Source organism: Homo sapiens, chromosome 16 (assembly GCF_000001405.40).
Source record: "Homo sapiens chromosome 16, GRCh38.p14 Primary Assembly".
NCBI classification, from domain to species: Eukaryota; Metazoa; Chordata; class Mammalia; order Primates; family Hominidae; genus Homo; species Homo sapiens.
This window is the reverse complement of record NC_000016.10, coordinates 47,734,914-47,762,546: the sequence shown is the minus strand read 5'-3', so window position 1 is coordinate 47,762,546 and position 27,633 is coordinate 47,734,914. Positions and strand designations below refer to the sequence as shown.

The 27,633-nt window shown below is 37.2% G+C and overlaps 1 long non-coding RNA gene across 4 annotated transcripts; it reads left to right on the top strand.

The window, feature by feature from the left end:
- Positions 1-8,744: 8,744 nt before the first annotated feature.
- LOC105371236 (uncharacterized) lies at positions 8,745-18,377 on the top strand. Of its 4 annotated transcripts, none has more exons than XR_007065060.1 (6): positions 8,745-8,860; positions 10,885-10,999; positions 13,969-14,132; positions 14,606-14,924; positions 15,358-15,692; positions 18,291-18,377. It is a non-coding gene; the product is annotated as an uncharacterized LOC105371236 (long non-coding RNA). The 4 variants fall into 4 exon arrangements; XR_007065058.1 differs by having other exon boundaries at positions 13,945-14,132; XR_007065059.1 differs by lacking the exon at positions 8,745-8,860 and adding an exon at positions 9,635-9,718 and having other exon boundaries at positions 13,945-14,132.

The window sequence follows — 27,633 nt, the reverse complement described above, 5'->3', positions numbered from 1 at the left end:
ACAATGTATTTTCTTTAGGATATACACCCAGTAATGAGATTGCTGAGTCTAATAGTAATTCTATTTTTAGTTCTTTGAGAAATCTCCAAATTGCTTTCCACAGGAGCTGAACTAATTTACAGTCCTACCAAAAATGTCTGAGTGTTCCCTTTTCTCCACAACTTTGCCAACATCTGTTCTTTTTTGACTTTTTAATAATAGCCATTCTGACTGGTGTGAGATGGTATCTCAATGTGGTTTTGATTTGCATTTCTCTGATGATTTGTGATATTGAGCAGTTTTTTATACGTTTGTTGGTCACTTGTACATCTTCTTTTGAGAAGTGTCTATTCATGTCCTTTGCCCTCTTTTTAATGGGGTTGTTTGTTTTTTCTTATCAATTTGTTTAAATTCCTTATAGATTCTGGATTTTTCCCTTGTCAGATGCATAGTGTGCAAATATTTTCTCCCATTTTGTAAGTTGTCTGTTTTTTCTTTTCTTTTCTTTTCTTTTTCTTTCTTTTTTTTTTTTTTTTTTGAGACAGAGTCTTGCTCTGTCACCAGGCTGGAGAGCAGTGGCACAATCTCAGCTCACTGCAACCTCCGCCTCCCAGGTTCAAGCGATTCTCCTGCCTCAGCCTCCCAAGTAGCTGGGGACTACAGGCGCATGGCACCATGCTATACAGAAGCTCTTTAGTTTAATTAGGTCCCAACTGTCAATATTTGTTTTTGTTGCATTTGCTTTTGAGGACTGAGTTATAAATTCTTTGCTTGGTTGTCTACATATTTTCTATCTTCATAGGCTACCCCTTTCTTAGACCTTTATTGAGGCTTTTGTTGGTTTGTTTGTTTGTTTGCACTTGTTATTATTTATAGGTTGCCAGCTTCTTCAGCTCCAAGTCTAGGATGTATCTGGCCAAAAGAATGCCCAGAGTGCTCATCATCATAATGTTCATCAGGCCCAGAGTTCCTTAGCAGGCCTCCCTGATTCTCTTCATGTTTCTTTGTCTTCTTGTACTTATTTTATATTAATGTCCAGGGATTTTAATTGTACTTAGAAAGAGGAATAGAGGGCCAGGAGCAGTGGCTCATGCCTGTAATCCCAGCACTTTGGGAGGCTGAGGCAGGTGGATCACCTGAGATCAGGAGTTGGAGACCAGCCTGACCAACACGGAGAAATCCCATCTCTACTAAAAAAAAATTACAAAATTAGCCAGCCATGGTGGCACATGCCTGTAACCCCAGCTACTCAGGAGGCTGAGGCAGGAGAATCGCTTGAACCTGGGAGGCAGAGGTTGCAGTGAGACAAGATCATGCCATTGTACTCCAGCCTGGGCAGAAAGAGTGAAACTCTGTCTCAAAAAAAAAAAAAAAGAAAGAAAGAAAGAAAGAGGAATACAGAAAAGTACACTTACTCCATCTTCCCAGATATGGAAGAACCATTTTTGCATTTGCCTTATTGAGTTGTATGTATAAAAAGCTTTTGACCGAATCTAACATCTAGTTATATTTAACTAGCTGTTTTATGACTTTTATGACTACAAGTCCTTTTTTAATATATTTTTTACAGTTTTTTTCTTTCAGTCTGTGGTCTTTTTTTGAGAATGTATTTTTTTGATAAAAATAACTTTTATTCTTTTTAAATGTTAGTTTGCATCTGAATGAAAGGTGTGATCCAGAGAGTATAACATCACTGGTTAAGCAGCACATCTCTGATGCCAAATTGACAGCACAAAGTCAAGAAAAACTTGTATATATTTTGCCTTTGGAAAGGACAAACAAATTTCCAGGTAACAAAATGTAAAGATGACAGAATGATTTGGGAATGCTGTTATTAACAATAACAGTGGTGATAAGAATGATGGTGAGTTTTTTTTTTCAGTTTTTATTTTTTTCATTATTATACTTTATGTTCTAGGGTACATATGCACAACGTACAGGTTTGTTACATATGTATACATGTATACATGTTGGTGTCCTGCACCCATTAACTCGTCATTTACATTGGGCATATCTCCTAATGCTTTCCCTCCCCCTCCCCCCACCCCTCAACAGATGCCAGTGTGCGATGTTCCCCTTCCTGTGTCCAAGTGTTCTCATTGTTCAATTACCGCCTATGAGTGAGAACATGCAGTGTTTGGTTTTTTGTTCTTGCGATAGTTTGCTGAGAATGATGGTTTCCAGCTTCATCCATGTCCCTACAAAGAAAATGAACTCATCCTTTTTTGTGGCTGCATAGTATTCCATGGTGTATATGTGCCACATTTTCTTAATCCAGTCAATTACTGATGGACTTTTGGGTTGGTTCCAAGTCTTTGCTATTGTGAATAGTGCCGCAGTAAACATACCTGTGCATGTGCCTTTATAGCAGCATGATTTATAATCCTTTGGGTATATACCCAGGAATGGGATGGCTGGGTCAAATGGTATTTCTAGTTCTAGATCCTTGAGGAATCACCACACTGTCTTCCACAATGGTTGAACTAGTTTACAGTCCCACCAACAGTGTAAAAGTGTTCCTATTTCTCCACATCCTCTCCAGCACCTGTTGTTTCCTGACTTTTTAATGATCGCCATTCTAACTGGTGTGAGATGGCATCTCATTGTGGTTTTGATTTGCATTTCTCTGATGGCCAGTGATGATGAGTATTTTTTCATGTGTCTGTTGGCTGCATAAATGTCTTCTTTTGAGAAGTGTCTGTTCATATCCTTTGCCCACTTTTTGATGGGGTTGTTTGTTTTTTTCTTGTAAATTTGTTTGAGTTCATTGTAGATTCTGGATATTAGCCCTTTGTCAGATAAGTAGATTGCAAAAATTTTCTCCCATTCTGTAGGTTGCCTGTTCACTCTGGTGGTAGTTTATTTTGCTGTGCAGAAGCTCTTTAGTTTAATTAGATCCCACTTGTCAATTTTGGCTTTTGTTGCCATTGCTTTTGGTGTTTTAGACATGAAGTCCTTGCCCATGACTATGTCCTGAATGGTATTGCCTAGGTTTTCTTCTAGGGTTTTTATGGTTTTAGGAAGTTCTGGCCAGGGCAATCAGGCAGGAGAAAGAAATAAAGGGTATTCAATTAGTGAAAACAGGAAGTCAAATTGTCCCTTTTTGCAGATGACATGATTGTATATTTAGAAAACCCCATTGTCTCAGCCCAAAGTACCCTTAAGCTGATAAGCAACTTCAGCAAAGTCTCAGGATACAAAATCAATCTGCAAAAATCACAAGCATTCTTATACACCAATAACAGACAAACAGAGAGCCAAATCATGAGTGAACTCCCATTCACAATTGCTTCAAAGAGAATAAAATACCTAGGAATCCAATTTACAAGGGATGTGAAGGACCTCTTCAAGGAGAACTACAAACCACTGCTCAAGGAAATAAAAGAGGATACAAACAAATGGAAGAACATTCCATGCTCATGGATAGGAAGAATCACTATTGTGAAAATGACCATACTGCCCAAGGTAATTTATAGATTCAATGCCATCCCCAGAAAGCTACCAATGACTTTCTTCACAGAATTGGAAAAAACTACTTTAAAGTTCATATGGAACCAAAAAAGAGCCCACATTGCCAAGATAATCCTAAGCCAAAAGAACAAAGCTGGAGGCATCACACTACCTGACTTCAAACTATACTACAAGGCTACAGTAACCAAAACAGCATGGTACTGGTACCAAAACAGAGATATAAACCAATGGAACAGAACAGAGCCCTCAGAAATAATACCACACATCTACAACCATCTGATCTTTCACAAACCTGACCAAAAACAAGAAATGGGGAAAGGATTCCCTATTTAATAAGTGGTGCTGGGAAAACTGGCTAGCCATATGTAGAAAGCTGAAACTGGATCCCTTCCTTATACCTTGTACAAAAATTAATTCAAGATGGATTAAAGACTTAAATGTTAGACCTAAAGAGTGTCATTTGAAAAGTAAATGAATGGGTTCAATTGTGATGAAGTACAATTTATAATTTGGTGTGCTTTTTGTGTCATATTTAAGAAATCTCCCCAAATCCAAGGTAACTAAAATTTGTGTCAAGGTTTTCAAGGTTTTAACATTGTAGGTTTTACATGTAGATCTATCATCTTTCTTGTATTATAAACCATTGCTGTGTATTTGTATATGCCATGAAGTGAGGGTCAAGGGTCTCCCCCACCCATGAAGATATTCCATTCTTCAAGCACAATTTGTCAAATATTAAATGGCCATATGTCTGTGGATCTATTTCTGGACTCTATTCTGTTCCACTATTCTATACATCTGTCTTTAGACAAGTGTCACATTATTTGATTCTTGCAGCTTTATAATAAGTCTGGAAATAGGTAGGAAAGTCTTCTCACTTTGTTCTTTCTCTTCAAAATAATTTTGGTTATTTTAGGTCCTTTGTATTTTAACATAAATTTAAAATCAGTTTGTCAATTTCAACAAAAAATGCCTGTAGATTTTGATTGCATTGACTATATACACCAATTTGGGAAGAAATAATGTCCTAATAATACTGAGTCTTCCAGTGCATGGGTGTGGACCCCATTTCTTTCTGTTGGCAATGTTTTGTAGTTTTCAGAGCACAGGTCTTCATATCCTTTGTCAATTTTGTCCCTAAGTGTTTTCATATATTTTGAGGTTATGGTAAGTGGTATCTTTTTTTTTTTTTTTTTTTTTTTTTTTTTTGAGATGGAGTCTTGCTCTGTCACCCAGGCTGGAGTGCAGTGGCACGATCTTGGTTCACTGCAACCTCCACCTCCCGGGTTCAAGCGATTCTCCTGCCTCAAGGAAATCCCTGTTGACCAGGCTGGCCTCGAACTCCTGAACTTAAGTGATCTGCCCGCCTCAGCCTCCCAAAATGCTAGGATTAGCTGCGTGAACCACCACGCCCAGCCAGTATTTGTTTTTAAATTTAAATTGTGATAGTTTATTGTAAGCATATAAAAACAAAGTTTATTTTTTCCATATTGATCTTGTACTCTGCAACTTTGCTAAACTCATTTATTTGTTCTAATAGGTTTTTGTAGATTTTTAGGATTATCTGCATAGATTATTATATCATATGCCAATAAAGACAGTTTACTTATTCCTTTTCAATCTTTTATTTCTTTTTCTTTCTTCTTGTGCTGGCTTAGACCTCCAACAAAATGTTCAACTGAAGTGGTGAGGATAGACATTCTTGCTTTGTTCTGTATTGCATGGAGAAAGTATTCAGTTTTTCACCATTAAATATGTTATTAGTTGTATGTGGGGTTTTTTTTGTAGTTGTCCTTTGCAAGTTTGCTGAGAGGTTATTATTTTTATTATAACTAGATATCAGATTTTGTCAAATGCTTTTTATACATTTGCTGAAATGATCATGTCATATGTTTTCTTTTTTCTGTTAATAAGATGTTAATAAGGTGAATTACAGTTTGATTTTCAAATATTTAATGAGCTTTTCATTTCTAAGAATTTTTTTCTGTATCTATTGAGATTTTTTTCACTTCTAATTTTTTAATATAGTGAATTGCATTGATTTTCTTTTTTAAATTTGTATATATTCATGGGGTACTAGTGCCATTTTGTTACATTCATATATTGCATTGTGGTGAGGTCAGCGCCTTCAGGGCATCCATCACTGGAGCAATGCACATTGTGCCCACCAAGCAACTCCATCATTGCCTGCCTCCCACTCACTCCCATCCCTCCAAGTCCCCACTGCTCATCATTCCACACTCAACTTCCATGTGTACATGTTACTTAGCCCCCACTTAGGAGTGAGAACACGCGGTATTTGTGTGTCCGAGTTGTTTCACTTAAGATAATAGTCTCCAGGCCAAGGCAGGCAAATCACCTGAGGTTGGGAGTTCGAGACCATCCTGACCAACATGGCAAAACCCCGTCTCTACTAAAAGTACAAAAATTAGCCGGGTGTGGTGGTGGGCACCTGTAATCCCAGCTACTTGGGAGGCTGAGGCAGGAGAATCACTTGAACCTGGGAGGCGGAGGTTGCAGTGAGCCAAGATTGCACCACTACACTCCAGCCTGGGTGACAGAATGAGACTCCATCTCAAAAAAAAGAAAAAGATAATGGCCTCCAGTTCCATCTTTGTTGCTTCAAAAGATGTTATTTCAGAATACATTTATTTTTGAAAAGAGACTTAGAAGTTATCCTTTGTGGGCAGAGGATTAAGATAAAGGCCACTCATAAAATGAGACCTTCCTTTTTCAATTAGAATGATGCCATCCAGGAGTCACAGAAGAGAAGTGGCAGCATTTAAAGACCTGAAGCAAGTTGGGCACAGTTTCTGTAATTGGCAGCAGAGCACAAGTGGTAATTAGAAATATGTGAAATAACATTTGATGGAAGTTATTTAATCATTGGGGTCTCTAAGATCAAAACAATGAGTAACTCTATGGTCCTACCTGCTCTGTGTGATTGATCATGCTGTGGGTCTAGCAAATAGGACTCATTTGAGTCATTATTTTAAAAAAATCACAGTCCCTTACTCAATTCCAAGGCCTGAGCCAACTCATAGACCCAGAGCCCCTGGAACAAAGGGAAAACCAGGTAAACACTGAGTAAGAATAGTAAGATAACACAAATGTATACCGAGAATCTTCTTCCTTGCCATGGCCAAGAGGACTAGAGACCAGAGTAAATGATGATTAAGAAAATGAAAATACCAGAACCATTCAGAAATAATTAGACTCTGGCTGTGAGTAAGCACTAGTTCCTGGGAAATTCTAGAGTGCACTATGATCCATTTGTCAAAGTGTGCACTTAGAAAATTTCCTTCCCATCTCTGTAACTTCGGACTTCGTTAATTTAGAGGTTTTAGAATTCAAGAGGAAAATACTTCTAACAGGGGGTTGCAGCAACACTTCCATTAAGCTGAAAATAGAAAATTCCAGCTGATCATTTTGACCTCTTCATGCTGCTGGAAAACAACCAAAAAGTTATTGCGTTGGTTGAGGTAATTGATTCTAACGTTCAAGAGGAAATAGGGGTGTTGTTACAATAACAAGAACAAGAAGGAATATTTCTGGAACCAGAAGGTCCTTGAGAGAAACTCCTGGCCAATATTGCACTGGGAACAGTCTTAGTGGGAATGTAAATCCAAATGTAAAAAGAGGTTTCATGATCCTTTTCCTACTTCCCCAAAAGCTATTAAGGAGTGAGTACATGGCCTAAGCCTAACTGATTGGAAAATCTCTTCTTTCTTTTTCTTTCTTTCTTTCTTTCTCTCTCTCTTTCTTTCCTTCTCTCTCTTTCTTTCTTTCTCTTTCTTTCTTTCTCTCTCTCTTCTTTTTCTTTCTTCTTTTTGTTTCTCTCTTTCTCTGTCTCTCTCATCTTTTAGTTAAAGGTGATAGGATGAAAGAAATGGTTGGAGCTCAGACATTCTAGCTGGCTACGCTGCAGAGAAAACCACTAGCTGCCCACTAATATCCATGCTCCCATCTCCCATAGTAAGCAAACCTTCATCAACACTGGACAATGCAGCTCAGATAATTAGGAGAAAAAGAAATAGACTTATTTGTTCTTACAGCCACTAACTTGGAGGGTTTCTCTCACAATCCTAATACATACTCTAATGGTCAATTAACTTCTATCTTGATCTTAGACCTGGTGTCCAATCTTTGTGCCAATTCAGTGATTTCTATAACAAATATGGTAATTATCATTGTAATTACCCTTGAGTAAATGAATACCACAATCACTCTTCAGCCATTGCATTAGCTGAAAGGAAATTAGTTGACAGTCCTCTGAAAACAATGCTCTGTCATAGGGGATGCAAGTGTGGCAGAGATTACTGGTTGTTGCCAAATCTGTTTTTTCCTTCTCTTGCAATAATAGATCCCCCACATTTGCGGAATACATGGCTGTTCAGCATTCCTTGAAACAAGGTATACGACTAAGTCCTGGCCAATGGAATATAAGCAGAAGTGATTTGTGCAGCTTTCCAATTGTGCTCTTAAAAGACAGGAGAACACCCTCTCCTTACTCTGTCTGGAAAATAAATACAGTATGTGATGTGCTGTACTAGTGTATCAGGGTGGCACAGCAGATACAGCAAAAAATATGTATATATATATTATATACACATATACACACACAGCCTGACACCATGGACTGCTATGAGCGAGAAAAACTTCTATCTTATTTAAAACACTTTTTGGGGTGGCAGTGGGGTGGTCTCATTAGAACCAATGTCCTAATTGATACACATGTGTTCTCAGCATAAAACGGAGATGTTGAAAGGAACACTCAAATGTGCGGATTAGATGTCAGGAGAAGGGCTCTGGCTTCCCCAGGGCCGCTTACTTGCTAGGTGAGTTGGGCAAGTCCATTCCATTCTCTGGATCTCAACTCCCCCATTGGTAAATGCAGCCCCTGACAGCCTGAACAGCCAAGACTAAGATGAGAACATGCCATGCCAAACATAACAATGAAAAAGAAAGTATAGGCACACTATAGGCACAAGCAAGTCCTGCCAAAGGCGAATAAATCCTCAGAAAACATCTTTTGAAATGCATGTAGTCAGGGCAACTCCATGCCCTTTTATTTATTTATTTATTTATTTATTTATTTATTTTGCTTGGTGTTATTCTCCAAGACATTTGTGTTTTTGAATAAATCTTGCACATTCAGTGCCAAACTTCCATCTGCCTCCTCCTGCTGAGAAGTCATAATGCCATGTTTATGACACCAGCCTCTGTTTCCATGGGGATGATTGTATCAATGTAATTCCAGCATTATGACTTCTGGGTACATTTGAGAAGATGGGTGAAAGCAACGAAAAATTTTCAAGTGTACACATCTATTGTGATCCTGATAACTCACAGGAATGATACTGCTGAAAATAGAGACTAGGAATCAGACAGATGTCCACTAAAGCCTGAGGTCATTTTTTTCTGATGGCTAAAAAGGATGTTTAACCCCTAAGTCCTTCCTTCTTGAAATCTTTGGTCTGCTTTATTTTAAATGTTTTGTTTTAGTTTTTAATATGACATAATTTGCATTAGGCATCTGTAAGGCTTTTATCTGCTCATTGCCTAAATCTTTCATCTGTATGGGGACTGCATTAAGCTCATCCTGAATAATGGCCTCTATTATTTAAATCCATTATTCAAATTCCATTTTTCTAAGAAGCTATCACTCCTATTCCATCTGCAAATATGAAAACTTAAATGTAAAGGTCCCTCTTCAAATTTTCCACAGGAAAAAAACATGTCATCCATTTAAATGCATGCTTCAGGCACTGCACATTCTGTAAGAAGGCGATTTTAAACAACCTATTTCTATTTAATGTCAAAATTGAGATTTTAAAAAATTTTGCTGATTACAAAAGTAATTCATATTTACTGTGAAAAAGAAAATCAAACACTGAAGAATTTGAAGTAGAAAGTAGCTACCCAAAATTCTATCCAAAATTGCTATAACCCACAGAAACATTGTTTTATCTCTATATTTTTCTAAATGTTGAAATATTAAAATCATGACTATTTACACAAATTGAATCATATGATTCTGTGGCAGACAATTTTCCAAAGATGGTCACAACAATATCCCTCATCCTGCATGCTTTTCTGCAAGTTCCTTGCCACTCTCCCATCAAGAAATGTTATTTCGCCACCTCCCTGAATCTCAGCAGGACTTTGGATTGCTTCAATCAATAGAATAGAGCTGATACAACGTTATACTAATTCTGTGTATAGCCTTTAACTGGCCTGGCAACTTCCACTTCCTGCTTTTCGGAAGGTAGACATGTTAAGAAGTAGGACTACCCTGAGACCACCATGCTAAGAACTGGAAGATGAGATACCTTGTTGAGAAGTAAAGAAATCAAAGCGCACCAAGGCACTAGACATGCTTTTCAAACGCAGATTTGTTTGTTGTTTGGTTGGTTTGTTGCTTGACTCTACTCTTACCTACATACATATCAACACACACAACATGTAAGACTTGTAAGTGAAGAAGCCATCTTGGAAGTAGATCCTTCTCTCCCAGCCGACCTGGCTGACTATAACACAAACCACCCAACCAAGCCCTTCTTGAGTGCTGATCTATTAAACCAGAAGCAGAAAAAAAGAGTTACTTTAAGCCCTTAAGTTCTGGCATTGTTTGTACCATTAACATTTAAATAACCAAAACACATGGTTGGAGCATTTTTTATTTTAAAACAAATTAAATCCATCTCACCTATTTTAGTAGCTCTCATAGTATTCTATCATAGGCATTTACCCTATGTTAACTCAGCTTCAATAGATGTACTTTTAGACTATTTTCCATTTTTATTATGCTGTAGCAAATATTTGTTTACATTTATCTGTATCTATCTGATTGTTTTCAAAAATAAATTCTTCTAAGTCATATTACTGGGCCATATGGGAATTCAAATATTACATTTTGATATCTTCAGCCTGATTATATTTCAGAAATGTACAAATTTATTCTCACACCAGGAGCATGTAAGAGTTTCTCTCTCCCACACTTTCATCATCACTGGATTTTATCAATCTTTATAATTTTAGCCAATCTGCTGACATATACATAGTTTCATTTTTATTGTTCACTTCTTATATTTGGTAAGTTGCTTACTTGTCAAGTATAAACCATTTTAAAATCATTTTAAAGCTTAGTTTCTTATATAAATAAATAATTTTATAAATGTATGTGCAGCATATAGATAGTATATAGTATATATTGTATATATTATTGCTACCCACCAGTATTTCCATTCCTTCTTCCCCTCTAGAGGAGCACAAGAGGAACAGATTTCCCTGACTCCTTGAGCTTATCTATGACCACATGCTTTGATTTGGGGGTTGGGGGGTGGGGAGAACAAGTTAATATGCATCAATTCCAGATGAAAATCTTTAATTGCTGGCACATAATTCTTTATGTTCTCTCTTCCCTGGCTGCAGTCATCCTAAAACCATGTGTGGACAGAAAGAGTCCATAAGACCTAAATGTCCTGGAAGGTGAAGTCAAACCATTGAGAAAATTACCTGGAGAGTCTTCCAGAGGCTGAGACTTCACGTAAGCAAGAAATAAATGCTTGTTACATTAATGCATTGTGATATTGGATTGTTTAAGAATAAGAATAATCTAACCTACCCTGACTGATATATACACATATGATCCTAGATACACCTTTCAAATGCAGACTTGGTTGGTTGGTTGGTTTATAAGTTGCTTGACCCTACCCTTATCTACACATGTATCAACACACATGACATAGGTCATCTTAGTAGAAGGGTTTCAAAATCTGATATGTATCTTTCTATATTTTTCCTTTATACTCATAATACTATACAAATATTCATAGGAATGTGTGCATGTAAAATGAGATCCTAGTCTTCGTTTTATGAAAAGACAGTAGACTATTTTACACCTGTCTCTGTATCTCTCTGTATTTCTTACTCAGTAAGTGGTAGCCGTCTTACAGCTCTAATTCACTCATTTTACTGATTGCCAAGCAGAATGCAGTATGCATGATGCAGTAGACTTTATTCAACCAGTATTCCCCCACTATGGACATCCACTTTGATCTAGCTTTGTGGCATTAAAAACAATGCTGCAATAAACATTTTAGTGCATTAATACATCTACTTTTACGTCACTGTGTTTTTGGTTTTGTTTTGTTTTGTTTTGTATTTTTGGCAGAGTCTGGCACTGTCAGCCAAGCTGGAGTGCAGTGGCATGATCATGGCCCTCTGCAACCTCCACCTCCCATCTCAGCCTCCCAAGTAGCTGGGACTCTGGGCACATGCCACCATGCCTGGCTAGTTTTTGTATTTTTTGTAGAGATGGAGTCTCCCTCTGTTGCCCAGGCTGGTCTTGAACGCCTAGGCTCAAGTGATCTGCCCTCCTCAACCTCCCAAAGTGGTGGGATTATAGGCATGAGCCACCATGCCCGGCCATCTGCTTTTATTTCTATTGGCACTCTCAGGAGAGGCCTGGTAAGGTTAAAGGATACATGTGTTTTTGTTTTTCATACATGCCACAAAATTACTTTAGCCAAAGGCTATGACACTGCACATTTCCACTAGGAATATGAGAGTATTATAATCTTATATCCCTAAGAGCATTAAGTTTTGTAGCTCTTTCCAATGAATTTAAACTGAAATCTCACTGCTCTTTAAATTTCCATTCTCTTGGCTACCAGTGAATTTAAGCATCTTTTTCTACATCCGTGGCCATTTAAACTTGCTCTTCTGTGACTTTTTGTTAGCCTGTTTTTTTAACAATATTCTGCTTTTCTTGTCAGTTTGGAGAAGCAGTTTGAATAATATAGACAACTTACTCCTATCTGACATTTGCATTACACTATTTTTTCTTGATCTATGTGTCTATTGATTTTAATTGTTTCCTTAGCCACACAAAGGTCATTATCTACTTTTTTTCTTTTTCTTTTTTCTTTTTTTTTTTTTTTAAGAGATAGGAACCTCGCTCTGTTGCCCAGGCTGGAGTGCGGTGGCACAATCATAGCTCACTGCAGCCTCAAACTTTTGGGCTCAAACAGTCCTCCCAAGTAACTGGGATCACAGGCACATGCCATCACACCAGCCATTATCATTTCTCTTATAGCATCTAAGTTTCTTCCCCTTTTTAAGAAACTCACAATGCCTATGTTACAAGATTTACAAGATTTTCTTAAAAGAGTTTTTGTTTGTTTGGTCAGTTTTGTTTTTTACACTTGAGCATTTCAATCCTAAGAAACCTATTTTAAAATTAAGATATTATTTATATAAAATAAAATGCACCTATTTTAAGTGTACAGTTTGATGACTGTGGTAACTGTATGAGATCGAGTAATCACAGTCAAGAGTTAAAACAGTTCCCCCACCATGTTTTCCTCTGCCCCCTGCACCTCCACCCCCTTCCAGGAAATCACTGGCCTGCTTTCCATTATGACAGCTTTGTCTTTTTCTAGAATTTTGTATAAATGGAATCACTCAGTATAGACTTATGTTTGATTTTTTTCACTTAGCATAATGATGTTTTTGAAATTCATCCATGATTTTGAGTACATTAATCTTTTGTTACTTCTTATTACATACCAACTAAACATAGTATAGAGAAATCACAATTTGTTTATTCACCAGTTTTTGTCTACTATAAATTATCAGCTATAAATATTTATGTACATGTCTCTGTGAACATGTATTTATTTCTCTTGGGCAACTACCTAGGAATGGAACTTCTGGGTCATACGGTAAGGGTGTGTCATGAAGTTCAAGATACTACCATATCTTGTTTTCCAAAGTGACTGCACTATTTTGCATTTTAACCAGCAATGAGTGAGACTTACAATTGTTCTACATCCTCATCAACACTTGGTATTGTCAGTATTTTTCAGTTGAGCCATTCTAGTAGGCAAGTCATGGTAGTTTTTAATAAGCTCTGATGACTAGTGATGTTGAATCTTTTCATATGCTTATCGGCCATGCACATATCTTCATTTGTAAAATGTCTGTTCACAAATTTGGTCCTTGTTTTACAAAGCCTTCTTCTCCCTCCTTTTTCTTGGGGGGTGGGGACAAAGTCTTACTCTATCACCCAGGCTGGAGTGCAGTGGCATAATCTCAGCTCACTGCAACTTCTGTCTTCTGGGTTCAAGCGATTCTTGTGCCTCAGCCTCCTGAGTAGCTGGGATTACAGGCGTGCACCACCACACCTGGCTAATTTTTGTATTTTTAGTAGAGACAGGGTTTCACCATGTTGGCCAGGCCAGTCTCAAACTCCTGACCTCAGGTGATCCACCCGCTTCGGCCTCCCAAAGTGCTGGGATTACAGGCATGAGCCACGGTGCCTGGCCTATGAATATCTTTATGCCAATCTTGATTGCTATAGATTTATAGTAAGTCATAAAATCAGATAGTTTAGGTCTTCTAAATTAATTCTTCTTTTTCAGATTATATTAGCTATCTAAGTTCTTTTTATGTAAATTTTTAAATCTACTTGTCAATTTCTTCCAAAAGCCTATTGGTTTTTACGCTTCTCAGAGCCAGGAGCATCCCAGATGCAGAGTCCAGAACTGGGAGGATGTGGTACTGAGGGAGCCCAGAGCGGATGGAATAACAAGGAAGGGATTTGCCTTCCTGCTTGAAGCATCTAACGAATCTGACAAAGTATATTAAAGAAAGTGTCTCAAGACACTGGACATCAGGTAAAGATGAATAGGGATCCCTGAGAGATGGGATACAAATTAGACGAGCCCTACCTTTGAGGTGCTCTCCTAGCTATGGCCTGGAGAGCATTTCCAGACACAGCACACGGACAGGCAACCCAGGAGGAGCACAAGAGTCTCCCTAAGCTGAACTAGGATGGGGCATGGGGGACCCTGGGGCTGAGGCTGCTAGAATTCACAAGGCAAGATACTGAAGAGAAGAGATCTGCAAAGAAATAGAACTCCAGAGATCTACAAAAGTTTCAATACTCTTCAGCGTGTGCATGTGAGAAAACTATCAAAAGGATTAGAGGGAAAAATCCCTACACGGGGTGGGAATAGTGCCTGTTCATACCATCTGGAGTGGAAAATCTTCATAATTACAGGGATTGGTAGACTATTCAAGAGTCTTGCCTCACAGTGGAGAAAATTTTACCCTAGACTAAATGTTGCTCTGCTCTCTCCTTACAAAGCTTAAAGGAAGACCCAATAGGATAAAATTGTTTTCAAGTCACTTAACTGCATCCTAGAATGAACTCAAGTATATTTATAGGAATACAATAATGTACAGCCCTCAACAAGAGAAATTTCACGAAGCTTGGCACACATTCAAGAATAACGAGGCATGCAAAGAAGTAGGACAAATGCAACCATAATACAGAGAAAAGCCAATCAAACAGACCCAGTAATGACACTGATGATGGAGTTAGTAGACAAGGCCATTAAAACAGTCATTATAACTGCGTTCCATATGTTTGAGAAACTTGAACGTGATAAGTAGAGACATGGAAGGTAAGAAAACACTCAAATTGAACTATTTTTTCCCATCTTCTTTTGTTCATCTTTGTTGTCATTTTATTTCTCATTCTGTCTTCAAATCCATTTATCCTTCCTCTGTCATAGCCATTTGGATTTTCATTTCATTCAGTGAATTTATTTTTATTTCAGAGATTGTATTTTTCTAGAATTTTAAAATTCTAGAATTTTTATTTCTGTTTATCTGCTGAGAGTTCTTTTTCTATGCTGAGATTTTCATTGACAATATGTTTTGTTTTACTTCACTGAGAATACTTAGAAGAGTCACAGTCTCTTGAGAATATGTTCTATTTTCTTAGTTCTATGTATGTTAATATTGGATTATATCCTAGATATTATGAATGTTAAGTGAAAATTTTTGATTCTATTATTTGTTCTCTTATAAGTGTTTTTTCCTTTGTTTTGGCAGATAATTTTGTTGCCTGGGCTTACCCTTCAGACTCTGCTTCTTGAACAGTGTCAGTGGCTGTAATCTCAGTTCAGATCTTTCATCTTTAACTGAGCTGCTTTGAGTCTTCTGCATAGGTGTGGTTTGAGAGTCGGTCAGACTGGGTACACAGAATGGCCCCCACCACCGCAATTCTCTTCAGTGTTCATAGTAGTCCAGCTTCAATTTTCTGGTTCCCCAGGCCAGAAAGAAGGGATGCTTGTTTGTCCACATGCACCCCAACAGCTGCTGTGTGCACTATATGGAGCCACAGAGATGGGACCTTTCCTGGGCAACTTCTCATCTCCCCTGTCCAAGTAGGTGGACACTTCACATTGGTGTCTGTCTGTCTGCTTCTCTTCCTCTCCCACACTTTAAGGCAATTACTTTTGTATTATGTCCAGGTTTAATATCTGCTTCCTCATAAGAGGGAGGTTGGGTGGGTTACTCAGTATGGCCTTGGTCCATCATAACTGGAACCTGGACCAGGGAGAAATGTATTTTTGGAAAGAGTATTAGATGAGAGTCAGTAAGCTGGATGGCAAAATGTTCTAACACATTTATTACATAACTTCTTTTTTCCCCATGGAGTTAACCAGTTTTGTCATATGTTAAATTCTCAAGTACTGGTTCTTATTTTGAATTCTTCTATTTTCCTGATCTGTTTATTCCAACACAGCTATAACATTGATTTTAAAACAGTGACTTCCTGGTATAATCTTAAAAGGTGAATTTTCCATCATGGTTATTCTTCATAGCTTTCTGGCTTATTCCTAGGTACTTTTTAAATACATATTCTAGGATTATTCATCCAGATTTTTAAAATATTTCTAGTAGTAATTGGAATTACATAAGGTTTACATATTTACTTAGAAAAAACTAATACTTAAAATAAATCATCCCCTTCAAGAACAAGTTTCTTGGGGAGACCTTCCTATTGTCAATATGATTTTCTAATTATCTTCAAATGGTCCTGTGCCTTTAAAATAATGTAAATTTTATTCTAAACACTATAGAACCTGTCTTTTATAAATAATGCTTTCACATTTTTATGTACTGATTTTTAAGGCAATGTATTTCATTTTTTATATTATTCATATCCAGCTATCTTTCTAAAATTTCATAGCTTTTTTAAAAACAATTAAAAAATCCTCATAACCCAACCTTTGAATTTTCTGAGTTTATAGATAACCATTAGCAAAACATAGCTATAACTCTTTGTTTTTCCAATATTTATACCACTTATTTCATGCTTTGCATTGTTGCATTTTTACAGACTTAGTACTAAATACTGACCACACTATGCATCCCTTATCAATTGTCAGATTAATCAAAATGAGTTTATTTGCTGTTCATTTTTGCTGTTGGAATTTTTAGATTATGATTTATTTTCATAATTCAAGTAGTTTCTTTTTATTGCATAGCTACTGAATTTTATTAAATATTTCTGTATCTGTTAATATAATATGACTTTCTCCCTTACTGCATTATTATAATGGATTACACTGATAGATTACAATATTGACCTTGCATTCCTTGAATAAATCATATTTAGTTATTATTTTTATACATAAATTCTGAAAGTATTGGCAAATAGAGTTTAGCAATGCTTCTATATTCATAAGGAACATTGGTTTAAATAAATTTTATACAAGAATTATCAGGAATTGGTGTTCAAATTATGCTGGTTTCATAAGGTGAATGCATGAGGTTTGCATTTTCCATGGCCTGAAATACCTAAATAACATGGGAATGATCTATTCTTTAAAGAATAAATTCATCTTGAGAATGGTACCAATCATAGAACTTGAATCAACTTTGAGGCTTTCCTATGGCCATTAGTTTATTCAAGTTTTCTAATTTCTGAGTAAAATTTAGTGATTTTTATTTTGCTAGGAGCTATTTCCTTTGGGTGTTAAATCTGGATAACATAGAGTTGCACACAGTATTATTTTGTAATTTTTAAAATGGTTATAGTCCCTTGTGCCTTCCAAATCTTGCCTATTTTTGTCCTCTTTTTCTTGCCTTAATTAAGCTTGCAAATGTTTCTGCTTTATTGGTTTTTTTCAAAGAAACTATTTTTTGGATTTATCTTTTCCTTCTTCTGTTTCATTATTTCAACTTTTATCTCTATTAATTCCCTCTTCTTACTTAGTTTATTCCATTCCTTCTTCTAACTTTATGTAATGAATATTTTGCTCCTTTCATATTTTTGTCTTTCTTTTTTTAAAAATGAAGGCATTTAAAGCTCTAGATTTTGGAGTTCAGCTTTTGATGGGTTCTATTATTTTGTCTGTGATTTTTTAAAAAATTCTTCTCTAATTCAAGGGTTTTCTAAAAATATGCTTTTACTTTCCAGATAAAATTTTTCCTTATTATTGTTTTATTATTTACTGCTAATTTTATTGCATTATTGGAACTGCCAAGTAAAAAGGGGTCCCTGGAGAATCTCCCACCCGCCTGAGCACTAAGAGGTTGGGGTGGAGCCTCGGGAAGTTTGTGCTTTGCAGGAGGGAGGATCCTGGCTTCTCCTGTTCCTGGGTGGTGACCTGAGATTCATTTGCTGAGGTGGAGAGCCTGTTAGGAGGACTCCATCTCAGTTTGCTAAGTTGTTTTTCCTTGTTCTTTTTCACCCAATAAATTCCACTCCTCACCCTTCTGTGTGTCCATGAGCCTAATCTTTCCTGGTTGTGTGACAAGAACCCAGTTTTTTCTACAACATTATAATCAGAGAATGGTCAGAAAATTTTAAGGTTTTCTTCATGGTCAAGACCATTTTTTAAACATGTATTCAGACATAGAAAAAAACTTCTTTTGTATTCAAATGATGCAAAGTTCTATATACAATTATCATATCAAGTTTGAGTGTGGCCAAATTCCTTTTCAAATGATTTTTTTCTTAATTTTGCTCAAAGGTACACTGGAACCAACTGGAAGAGCACTAAATTGTCAAAGCTGGAACATTTTGAGCAACAAAATAAATAAAGTAGTATAGAGTGATAGCCTAATGTGTAAACTAAATAACCATGAATTCATTCTGATATAAATAAATGATTGAATAAATAAATGATTGGGGGAAAATAGATAAATCTCCCTGGAGAATTCCAAATAATCTACATAGCAACTCTAGCCTTGAGTATATATGGAAACTAACTACCCACCTCTTCAGTGTGGGCTGTGCCTAGTGACTTCCTTCCACAAAGTATAGAACAGACAGGGGAAGGATGGAGAGCAACCTTACAGTGGAGAAACATGACAGGCGCTACTTCATCCATGTGATCAGGGTTAGCATCTGCATGATAGCTCATGCCAATAGTATGTCCCCTTGATATAATGTACTGGGAGTGGCACTTTACCTCTGCAGTACTCTCCCAAAAACTCCAGTCTAATCGTGAGAAAAATATCAGACAAATATCACTGGAGGGGCCCTGCAAACTATCTGACTAGTACTCAAATCTCTCAAGGTTGACACATCAGCAAAAATGTCAGAATAAGGACCTGCCAAAGCTCTCTCTCCATAAATGCAATGTTTAAAACTGGCAAAAATCATCATCAGTCAACTCTTTCAAAACCCTGGAAATTAATATCAGGCTTGCAGCAACTTTGAAAGCATTTAGCCAAAAATGCTTTCAAACAAACAAAAACTCTGAATCTCAGTAAGAACAGCAAGCCTTGTGGCATTTTAGCTTCTTATTTCCATTCCACATTCTACAGCACTGGGGAAGCCTTGAAAAATAACAGCCTGCACTCCTGGTATAAGAAGGGGCAGAATGCACTTATAAGTGGGAGCTGAGTGATAAGGACACATGGATACATTAGGGGCACAACACACACTAGGGCCTGTCTGAGGGGAGGGGATGGGGGTAGGGAGAGCATCAGGAAGAATAGCTAATGGATGCTGTGCTTAATACCTGAGTGATGGGATGATCTGTGCAGCAAACCACAATGGCACATATTTACCTATGTAACAACCTGCATATCCTACACATGTAACCCTGAACTTAAAATAAAAGTTGAAGAGAAAAAGAAAGAAGGAGAAGAATGGGGCTGGAACTCTTTCTCAAAGCCTCAGTACCAAAAAGAAGTCATTATTTGACCATTCTAGTTGTTTCTTGGAAGACCTCACTCAAAGGTTTGTCTTTATTTGACTTCACTAGAATTATCCCAGTGCTAGAAGTTTCTCTCTGGAAGACATTTGTCAAATGTTTTAAAATCTTGGCTACTTCAGGCAATGGATAACAGTTGGGGCAAACAATAGACTAATCCACAGCTTAAAAGGAAAGGCTGAGGAATGAGATTTCCATAGATGCCAAAAGACCACGGACTAGACATGGAGCTGTGCACATGCTCAGGAAAGACCTGAGACTTGAGGCTCTAAGCTCTCAAAGCAGAATGATTTTGAGGCTTTGTGAAAGCAGAAAGTGAAAGCTGAGGCAGAGTTGTAAATTGCTTTGCTGAGTTTTGAAGCTGTGCTTCAACGTGCACTCAGAACCCACTGGCAAATACACAGAGACTTATTGGCTCCAGGCATTTAAGGTAATGTCTGTCTAATCAGCTGACCACTAAGCTAATCAAGTAGAGACTTCAGTGTTCACGTATGAAAAAGATAGACTTTAGAGGATTCGTTCAGAAGTCACTAAATAGATAATATAAACTACAACAAGCAGCACCAGCAAACCCTGGGTAATGGAGAGAATCTGATTTCCAGAGTTACCATATTTATTATTTGAAATGTCCAATTTTCAACAAAAAATTATGATATGCACAAAAGAAGCTATGATCCATACATAGGAATCAAATGAAAATTGTCTCTGAGGAAATCCAGACTTTGGACTTACTACACCAGCTATTTTAAATATGTTCAAAAAGTAAAACAAACAAACAAAACACCATGTCTAAAGACCAAAAGGAATCAGAAGAGCAATGTGTCCCCAAAGAGAAAATATCAATAAAGGGATAGTAATTATAAAAAGGAACCAAGTAAAAAAGCTGGAGTTAAAAGCGTAACTGAAATGAAAAAGTCATTAGATGGGCTCAATATAGGATGTAATGCAGATGTAAGCAGGCAGAAGAAAGAATCAGTAAATGTGAAAAATAGCTCAATTAATATTATTCTTTCTGAGGAATAGAAAGAAAAAAGAATGTAGAAAAATGAACAGAGCCTCAAAGACCTATGGAACCCTGTCAAGCACACCAACACAAGCATAATGAGAGTCTCAGACAGAGAGAGGGGGAGAGGAAGAAAGAGAAGAGAGGACGGGCAAGGGCAGAAAAATATTTGAATAAATAATGAGTGAAAACTTCCCAAATTTAATGAAAGACATTGAATCTACACATCTAAGAAGCTCAATGAACTCTACATAGTATAAACTCAGAGATACACATCTAGACACACCTTAAATGGTCAAAAGACAAAGAGGGAATATTGAAAGCAGCAAGAGGAAAGTGACTCTTAACAAATGAGGAATCCTCAATAAGATTAACAGCTGATTTCTCATCAGAAACCTTGGATATTAGCAGGCAATGCTATGACATATTGAAAATGCTAAAGACAAAAACTGTTAATCAAAAATTCTATATCCAGAAAAACTCTTTAGAAAAATGAAGGGGAATTCTAGACATTTCCAGTTAAACAAAAACTGAGAGAGTTCATTACTAGTAGATCCACTCTACAAGAAATACTGAAGAAAGTCCTTCAGGCTGGAATGAAAGGATATAGGACAGTAACTCAAATCCACATGAAGAAATAAAGCATATCAGTAAAGTTAACCACACAGTTAAATATAAATGACATTTTAAATGTATTTTTTGTTTGTAACTCCATTTTTTTCCTGTCTGATTTAAAAGACAACTGCATAAGGCAATAATTATAAACCTGAGTTGATGGGCACACAGTGTATAAAGATGTAATTTTGGACAAAAACATAAAGAAAAGGGGAAAAGAGATATATAGGAGCAAGGTCTGTATACGTTATTGAAAATAAGTTGGTATTAAGCTGAATTCTCTTGTTATAAATTAAGATTTTAATGGTAATTTTCAGGGCAACCACCAAGACAAAACTCAAAAATCTATAGTAAAAGAAGTGATCATGGAATTTAAATGATTCACTGAAAATGTCTAGCACAAAAGAAGGAGGTAATGAAGGAAATGAGAACCAAAAAATACATGGAATATAGAATACAAGTAGTAAAATGGCAGACATAAATCCTACCTTATCAGTAACTACATTAACTGTACATGGATTAAATGATCCAATTAAAGATACGGATTGGCTGAATGGATTTTTAAACTATGATTCAACTATATGCTACCTACAAGAGACTCATTTTACATTCAAAGACGAATAGGTTGAAAGTAAAATATAAAGAAAGCTAGACCATGAAAACAGTAACGAAAAGAGAGCTGGAGTTGCTATACTAATATGAGACAAAATATTCTTTAAGACAATATTATTACTATAGACAAATTGTAACAACTTATTTAGGAGTGTATTGTTTACTTTCCAAATATGTGTGAATTTTTCAAATTTCCTTCTGTTATTGATCTCTAATTTCACTCCATTGTGGTCAGAAAACATACTTTGTATGATCTCAATTCTTTTAAGTCCGCTGAGACTTATTTTATGGCCTAACGTGTATTCTATCCTGATAAATGCTCTATACGCACTTGCAAAGTATATGTATTCTGCTGTCATTGAGTGGAGGGCTGTATAAATATGTATGTATGTATGTATGTTAGGTCTGGTTGGTCTATAATGGTGTTCAAGTTTTATATTTCCTTTTTTATCTTTTACTTAGTTGTTCTATCCATTATTGAAAATGGAGTATTGAAATCTCCAACAATTCTGCCACTGATGGGAGAAATAGCAGAAGGAAGGAAATAATAAACATTAAAGTGAAACTAAATTAAGAGTGGAAAAAATAAAAATCAATGAAACCAAAAGCTAGTTATATGGAAAAATCAATGAAACCAGAAGCTAGTTATATGGAAAAATCAACAAAATTGAAAACTTTGATCTAGACTGACAAAGAAAAACAGAGTAAAATTACTAAATCAGGAATGAAAGAGAGGACATTACTATCAACCTTACGAAACCAAAATAATTATAAGGGGATACTATCAACAAATGTATATCAACAAACTATATAACTTAGGGGAAGCTTGTCTCTTTGTAGAAACCAGGTGGCTTCCTTGATGAATTCTACAAAACATTTAAATACATGAATTCACACCAATTCTTCACAAAGTCTTTCAAAAAAATAGAAGAGGAAGGCCAGGCACAGTGGCTCACACCTGTAATCCAGTGCTTTGGGAAGCCAAGGAAGGAGAACTGCTTGAGGTCAGGAGTTCAAGACCAGCCTGGACAACATCATGAGACCCTGTCTCTATAAAAAATTTAAAAATTAGCCAGATGTGGTAGCAAGCACCTGTAGTCCCAGCTACTCAGTTGGCTGAGGCAGGAAGACCACTGGAGCCCAAGAGTTTGAGCCTGCAGTGAGCTATGATTGTGCCACTGCACTACAGTCTGCATGACAGGGCAAGACCCTGTCTCTCTAAAAAAAAAAAAAAGAAAAAGAAAGAAAAAAAGAAAAAAAAAAAGGAAGATTCATTATCCTAATACCAAAACAAGACAAAGACATCACAAGAAAAGGAAATTACATGGAAATGGGTGCAGAGGTCCTCAAAAAAGTACTAGGAAACCAAATCCAGCAGCATATAAAAAGGATTATAAATCCTGACCAACTAGAATTTATCCCAGGAATCCAAGGTCGGCTCAATATCTGAAAATTAATCAACGTAATACATTTCATCAATAGAATAATAAACAAAAACCAAATGATTACCTCAATAAATGCTGAAAACCATTTGACAAAATCCAGCACCCTTTCACAACAAACTAGTTTTAGGGCTCAGAAAATGATACCCCAAAGTGAAGGCCTCAGAGCAAGCCTCAGAAGTAAGGTTTCTCTCTGACCTTCTGCCCTCCTGTCTCTCACCCCTCTTTCTCTCCAGCAAGCCATAGAAATTAGAATTCCTCTTTCCCAAGGTGGATCATAGAATGCTTTTTCCCAGAAGCTAGTTATAAAACATGAAAACATTACTCTAATCTTCCCCCCACCTTTCTGTGTAAAAGCTGGCCATAAAGAAATTATATAACCTACCTTGTTTGATAGTAAATCATAAGACCCCCATTCCAGAAAGGGATGCCTCATACCTGAGAAGAATTAATGCTGTATAGAGAGAGTCCAAGAAGAATGTGAATAGTCAGGCTGGGTTTCCCCACCTCAATCTACTAGCATTAAATCAGAGCCTTGATGTTCAATCATATTTCTATACTGCTGTTCTTTCTTTACCAAATCTAAGCATAAAAATGGATAGTTTTCCCTGTATCTTTGGGTCTTTATTCTAAACCCTCCAGTGTTATATAAAACTATAATTAAATAAGTCTGTTATGCTTTTCTCTTTTTAACTTGTCTTTTGTTATAGGAGTGTTGGCTGTGACCTTTATGATGTCAGGGGAAAGGGATAATCTTTTTGCCCCTAGACAAGGAATACAAGGGCTCTTATTTAACCTGATGAAGGGCATCTGGAAACCCACGGCTTACATAATACTTAAAGGCAAAAGACTGAGTCCTTTCCCCAAATCAGAAATAAGACATGGATGCCCACTCTCACCACTTCTATTCAATATCATAGTGGAGGTTCAAACCAGGTGATTGGTCAAGACAAAGAAACGAAGGACATCAAGACTGGAAAGGAAGAAGTAAAATGATTTCTATTCATGGATGATATGATCTTAGAGAAAACTCTAAAGCATCCACAAAAAACTATTAGCACTAATAAACGAGTTCAGCAGGGGTGCAGGATACAAGATCAAAATGCAAAAATAATTGTGTTTCTCTACTCTTTCTTTCTTTCTTTTTCTTTAATTTTCTTTTCTTTTCTTTCTTTCTTTTTTTTTTTTTTTTTTTTTTGACAGAGAGTCTCACTCTATTGCCCAGGCCAGAGTGCAGTGGTGCAATCTTAGCTCACTGCAACCACCACCTTCTGGCTTCAAGCGATTGCCCTGCCTCAGCCTCCCAAGCAGCTGAGATTACAGGTGTGCACTACCACACCCGGCTAATTTTTTTTTTTTTTATAGTAGAGATGGGGTTTCGCCATGTTGGCCAGGCTGGTCTCGAACTCCTGACCTCAGGTGATCCACACACATCAGCCTCCCAAACTGTTGGGATTACAGGCGTGAAATACCATGCCTGGCCTATACTCTTCCAATGAGAAATTCAAAAGTGAAATTAAGAAAAGCAATTCCATTTACAATAGCATGAAAAAGAATAAAATACTTAGAAATAAATCAAACAAAAGAAATGCAAGATTTGCACACTGAAAACTATAAAACATGATGAAAGAAATTAGCCTAATTATTCCTAATAATCAAAAAGTGAAAATCACTCAAATGTCTATCAACTGATGAATGGATAAACAAAATATAGTATATATACATATACACATTAGAATGTTATTCAGCCATAAAAAGGATTGAAGTATGATACCTGCTATACTATGAATGCGTCTTGAAACCATTATGCTAAGTGAAAAAATGCAGTTACAAAAGGCCACGTATCATATTATTCTTATGTATTTAAAATATCCAGATTAGGCAACTCTATAGAGATGGAAAGTAAATTAGTTGTCGCCTAAGGCTGAGGGGATGAGGTGACTGGAGGGTGATAAAGGGTACAGGGTTTCTTTCTAGGGTGATTTAAATGTTTTTAAATTGATTGTGATGATTATTTCACAACTCTGTGAATACTAAAAAACATTGAACTGTACACTTCAAATGGATGAATTGTATGGCATGTGAATTATATCTCAATAAAGATGTTACCAAAAAATAAACAACTGTCACGGTCATCAAAAACAAGGAAAGTCTGAGAAACTGTCACAGCTAAGAGGAGACTGAGGACACTTGATGACTTACTATAATGTGGGATCCTGATGGGATCATGAAATAGAAAAATTAAGGAAATGCGAATAAAGTACATATTTACTTAATAATAATCTATCAACATTGGCTCATTAATCACAATAAATGTACCATCCTATTGTTAAGATGTTAACAATAGCAGAAACTGCCTATGGGGTCTATGTACTATCTTTGCAATTTTTCTTTCATCTAAAACTATGCTAAAATTAGAGTTTGTTTATTTCTTTAGAGACAGAGTCTCACTCTGTCTGTCGCCCAGGCTGTATAGTAGTGGCACAATCTCGGCTCATTGCAACCTCTGCCTCCCAGGTTCAAGTGATTCTCCTGCCTCAGCTTCCCGAATTGCTGGGACTCCAGGTGTGCGCCACCACACTCAGCTAATTTTTGTACTTTTAGTAGAGACAGGGCCAGGCTGGTCTTGAACTCCTGACATCAAGTGATCCACCTGCCTTGGCCTCCCAAAGTGCTGGGATTACAGGTGTGAGCCACCACACCCGGCCAAGTTTACTTTTAAAAAGACATCTTTGCAATTTTGAAAGAGGTGCTTGAGAAGTCCATTTAATTACATTTGTATCAATTCTCCCTTGCTTTACATATTTAGTTGCTATTGTTTTTGTTGCACACAGATTTGACTTATTCACACATCATAGCTTTTATCAGTAGCTTTTTATGTTGTTCAGTGCTCTTTCCCCTAAATCCCATGTTAATTTTAATAAGGCTATTTTAGCAGCCCCATGGCACACATGGTTTCTGCGTGGCCACAGTGAAGTGGCATCTTTGGTACTCTTACTCACCTTCTGTCCTCATCATAGACTACTTCGGAGTCTCCACCACTTTAAGACTTCGGGAACTTTTTTGCTTCACCTATGTCCCCACCTCCCAGTTCATAAATTTGCTGAATACTTATTAGAATCCCCCACATCCCTTCTATTTCAAGGATTTTTGCCTTTGCTCACTCGTGTTTCATGACAGCAACCTCTCCACATCCATCCATAGTGCTTTGTTATTTGCCTCATTTTTCTGGTTTCCTGCAACTTGAGTTGCGGGGGGCAGTTAGTGATTTCTTAACTATTTTCTTCAGATGGAGCATGTGGGTGATATACACCAACGTTTGCATAAAGAGAATATTTTTAGATCCTTTTTTAACATTTTATATCCATTTTTAAACCCTTCACTACTTCAGAAATCAAAGGAATCCTGAAGTTTATGAACAACTGAAGAAGGCGTTAATGAAGAGAGATCGCAATTCAAACTGTCTCTCTATCCCTTGATTTCTGCAGAAGGGTGGGAAGATCTGTTTCCAGTCTGGGAAAGGTGGAGGTTTTTCTCTTCCTTGAGAGACTCAGAAATCTCCAGGAGTGGTCTGAGTGCAGTGGCTCACACCTGTAATTCCAGCACTTTGGGAGGCTGAGGTGGGCGGATCACCTGAGGTCAGGAGTTTGAGACCAGCCTGGCTAACATGACAAAACCCTGTCTCTACTAAAAATACAAAAATTAGCTGGGTGTGATGGCACACACCTGTCATCCCAGCTACTTGGGAGGCTGAGGTAGGAGAATTGCTTGAACCTGGGAGGCAGAGGTTGCAGTGACCAGAGATTGCACCACTGCACTCCAGCCTGGGCAACAGAGTGAGACTCAGTCTCAAAAATAAAAGAGAAAGAAATCTCCAGGAGTGAAGACAGAAACTGAAGGAGCAGCCAGAAAGTATTTAATGCAAATGTCAATACAGTCAGCCTAAGTAGAGGCCAGCTCAGCCCATTGGAAAGGGAGTTGAAGGTAAATAGAGCAGAGGCTCTGGGAAAGGAGCCAGCCAAGCCAGCCCAGGTGATAAGAGGTAGACGGTCCTTTTTTGCTCTCACCTCAGAGCCCTCACCACGCAAGGCCTGGTTTTTCAAATAGCCTTCCTTACAGATAAAAGCCATGCCTCAGTACAAATGAATTCTTGCTCTGATACCACTCAGATGTATTTTAAAGCATTGTTCCAACAGACTGATTCCACAGTAAAAGAGAGGAAGGGCGGGGTGAGAGAAAGGAGCCCAGAAGTTTCCTTGTCTGTCTCTATGTGAATCCGCCAGGCCTTTGTAACAATCACACTTAACTTGAGAGTATCTGGAAGAATGGGCCATTTTTCATTTTCCAGAGAGAATGGCCAGCACCTATAGCTTTAATAGATCCAGAGAAAGAGTAAACATAACATTTAGGATCTCTGACAAGGTTAACTGAAGATTCCACCCCAGGACAAGTGGGGTGAGTTACTTTGCTATTTCCTCCC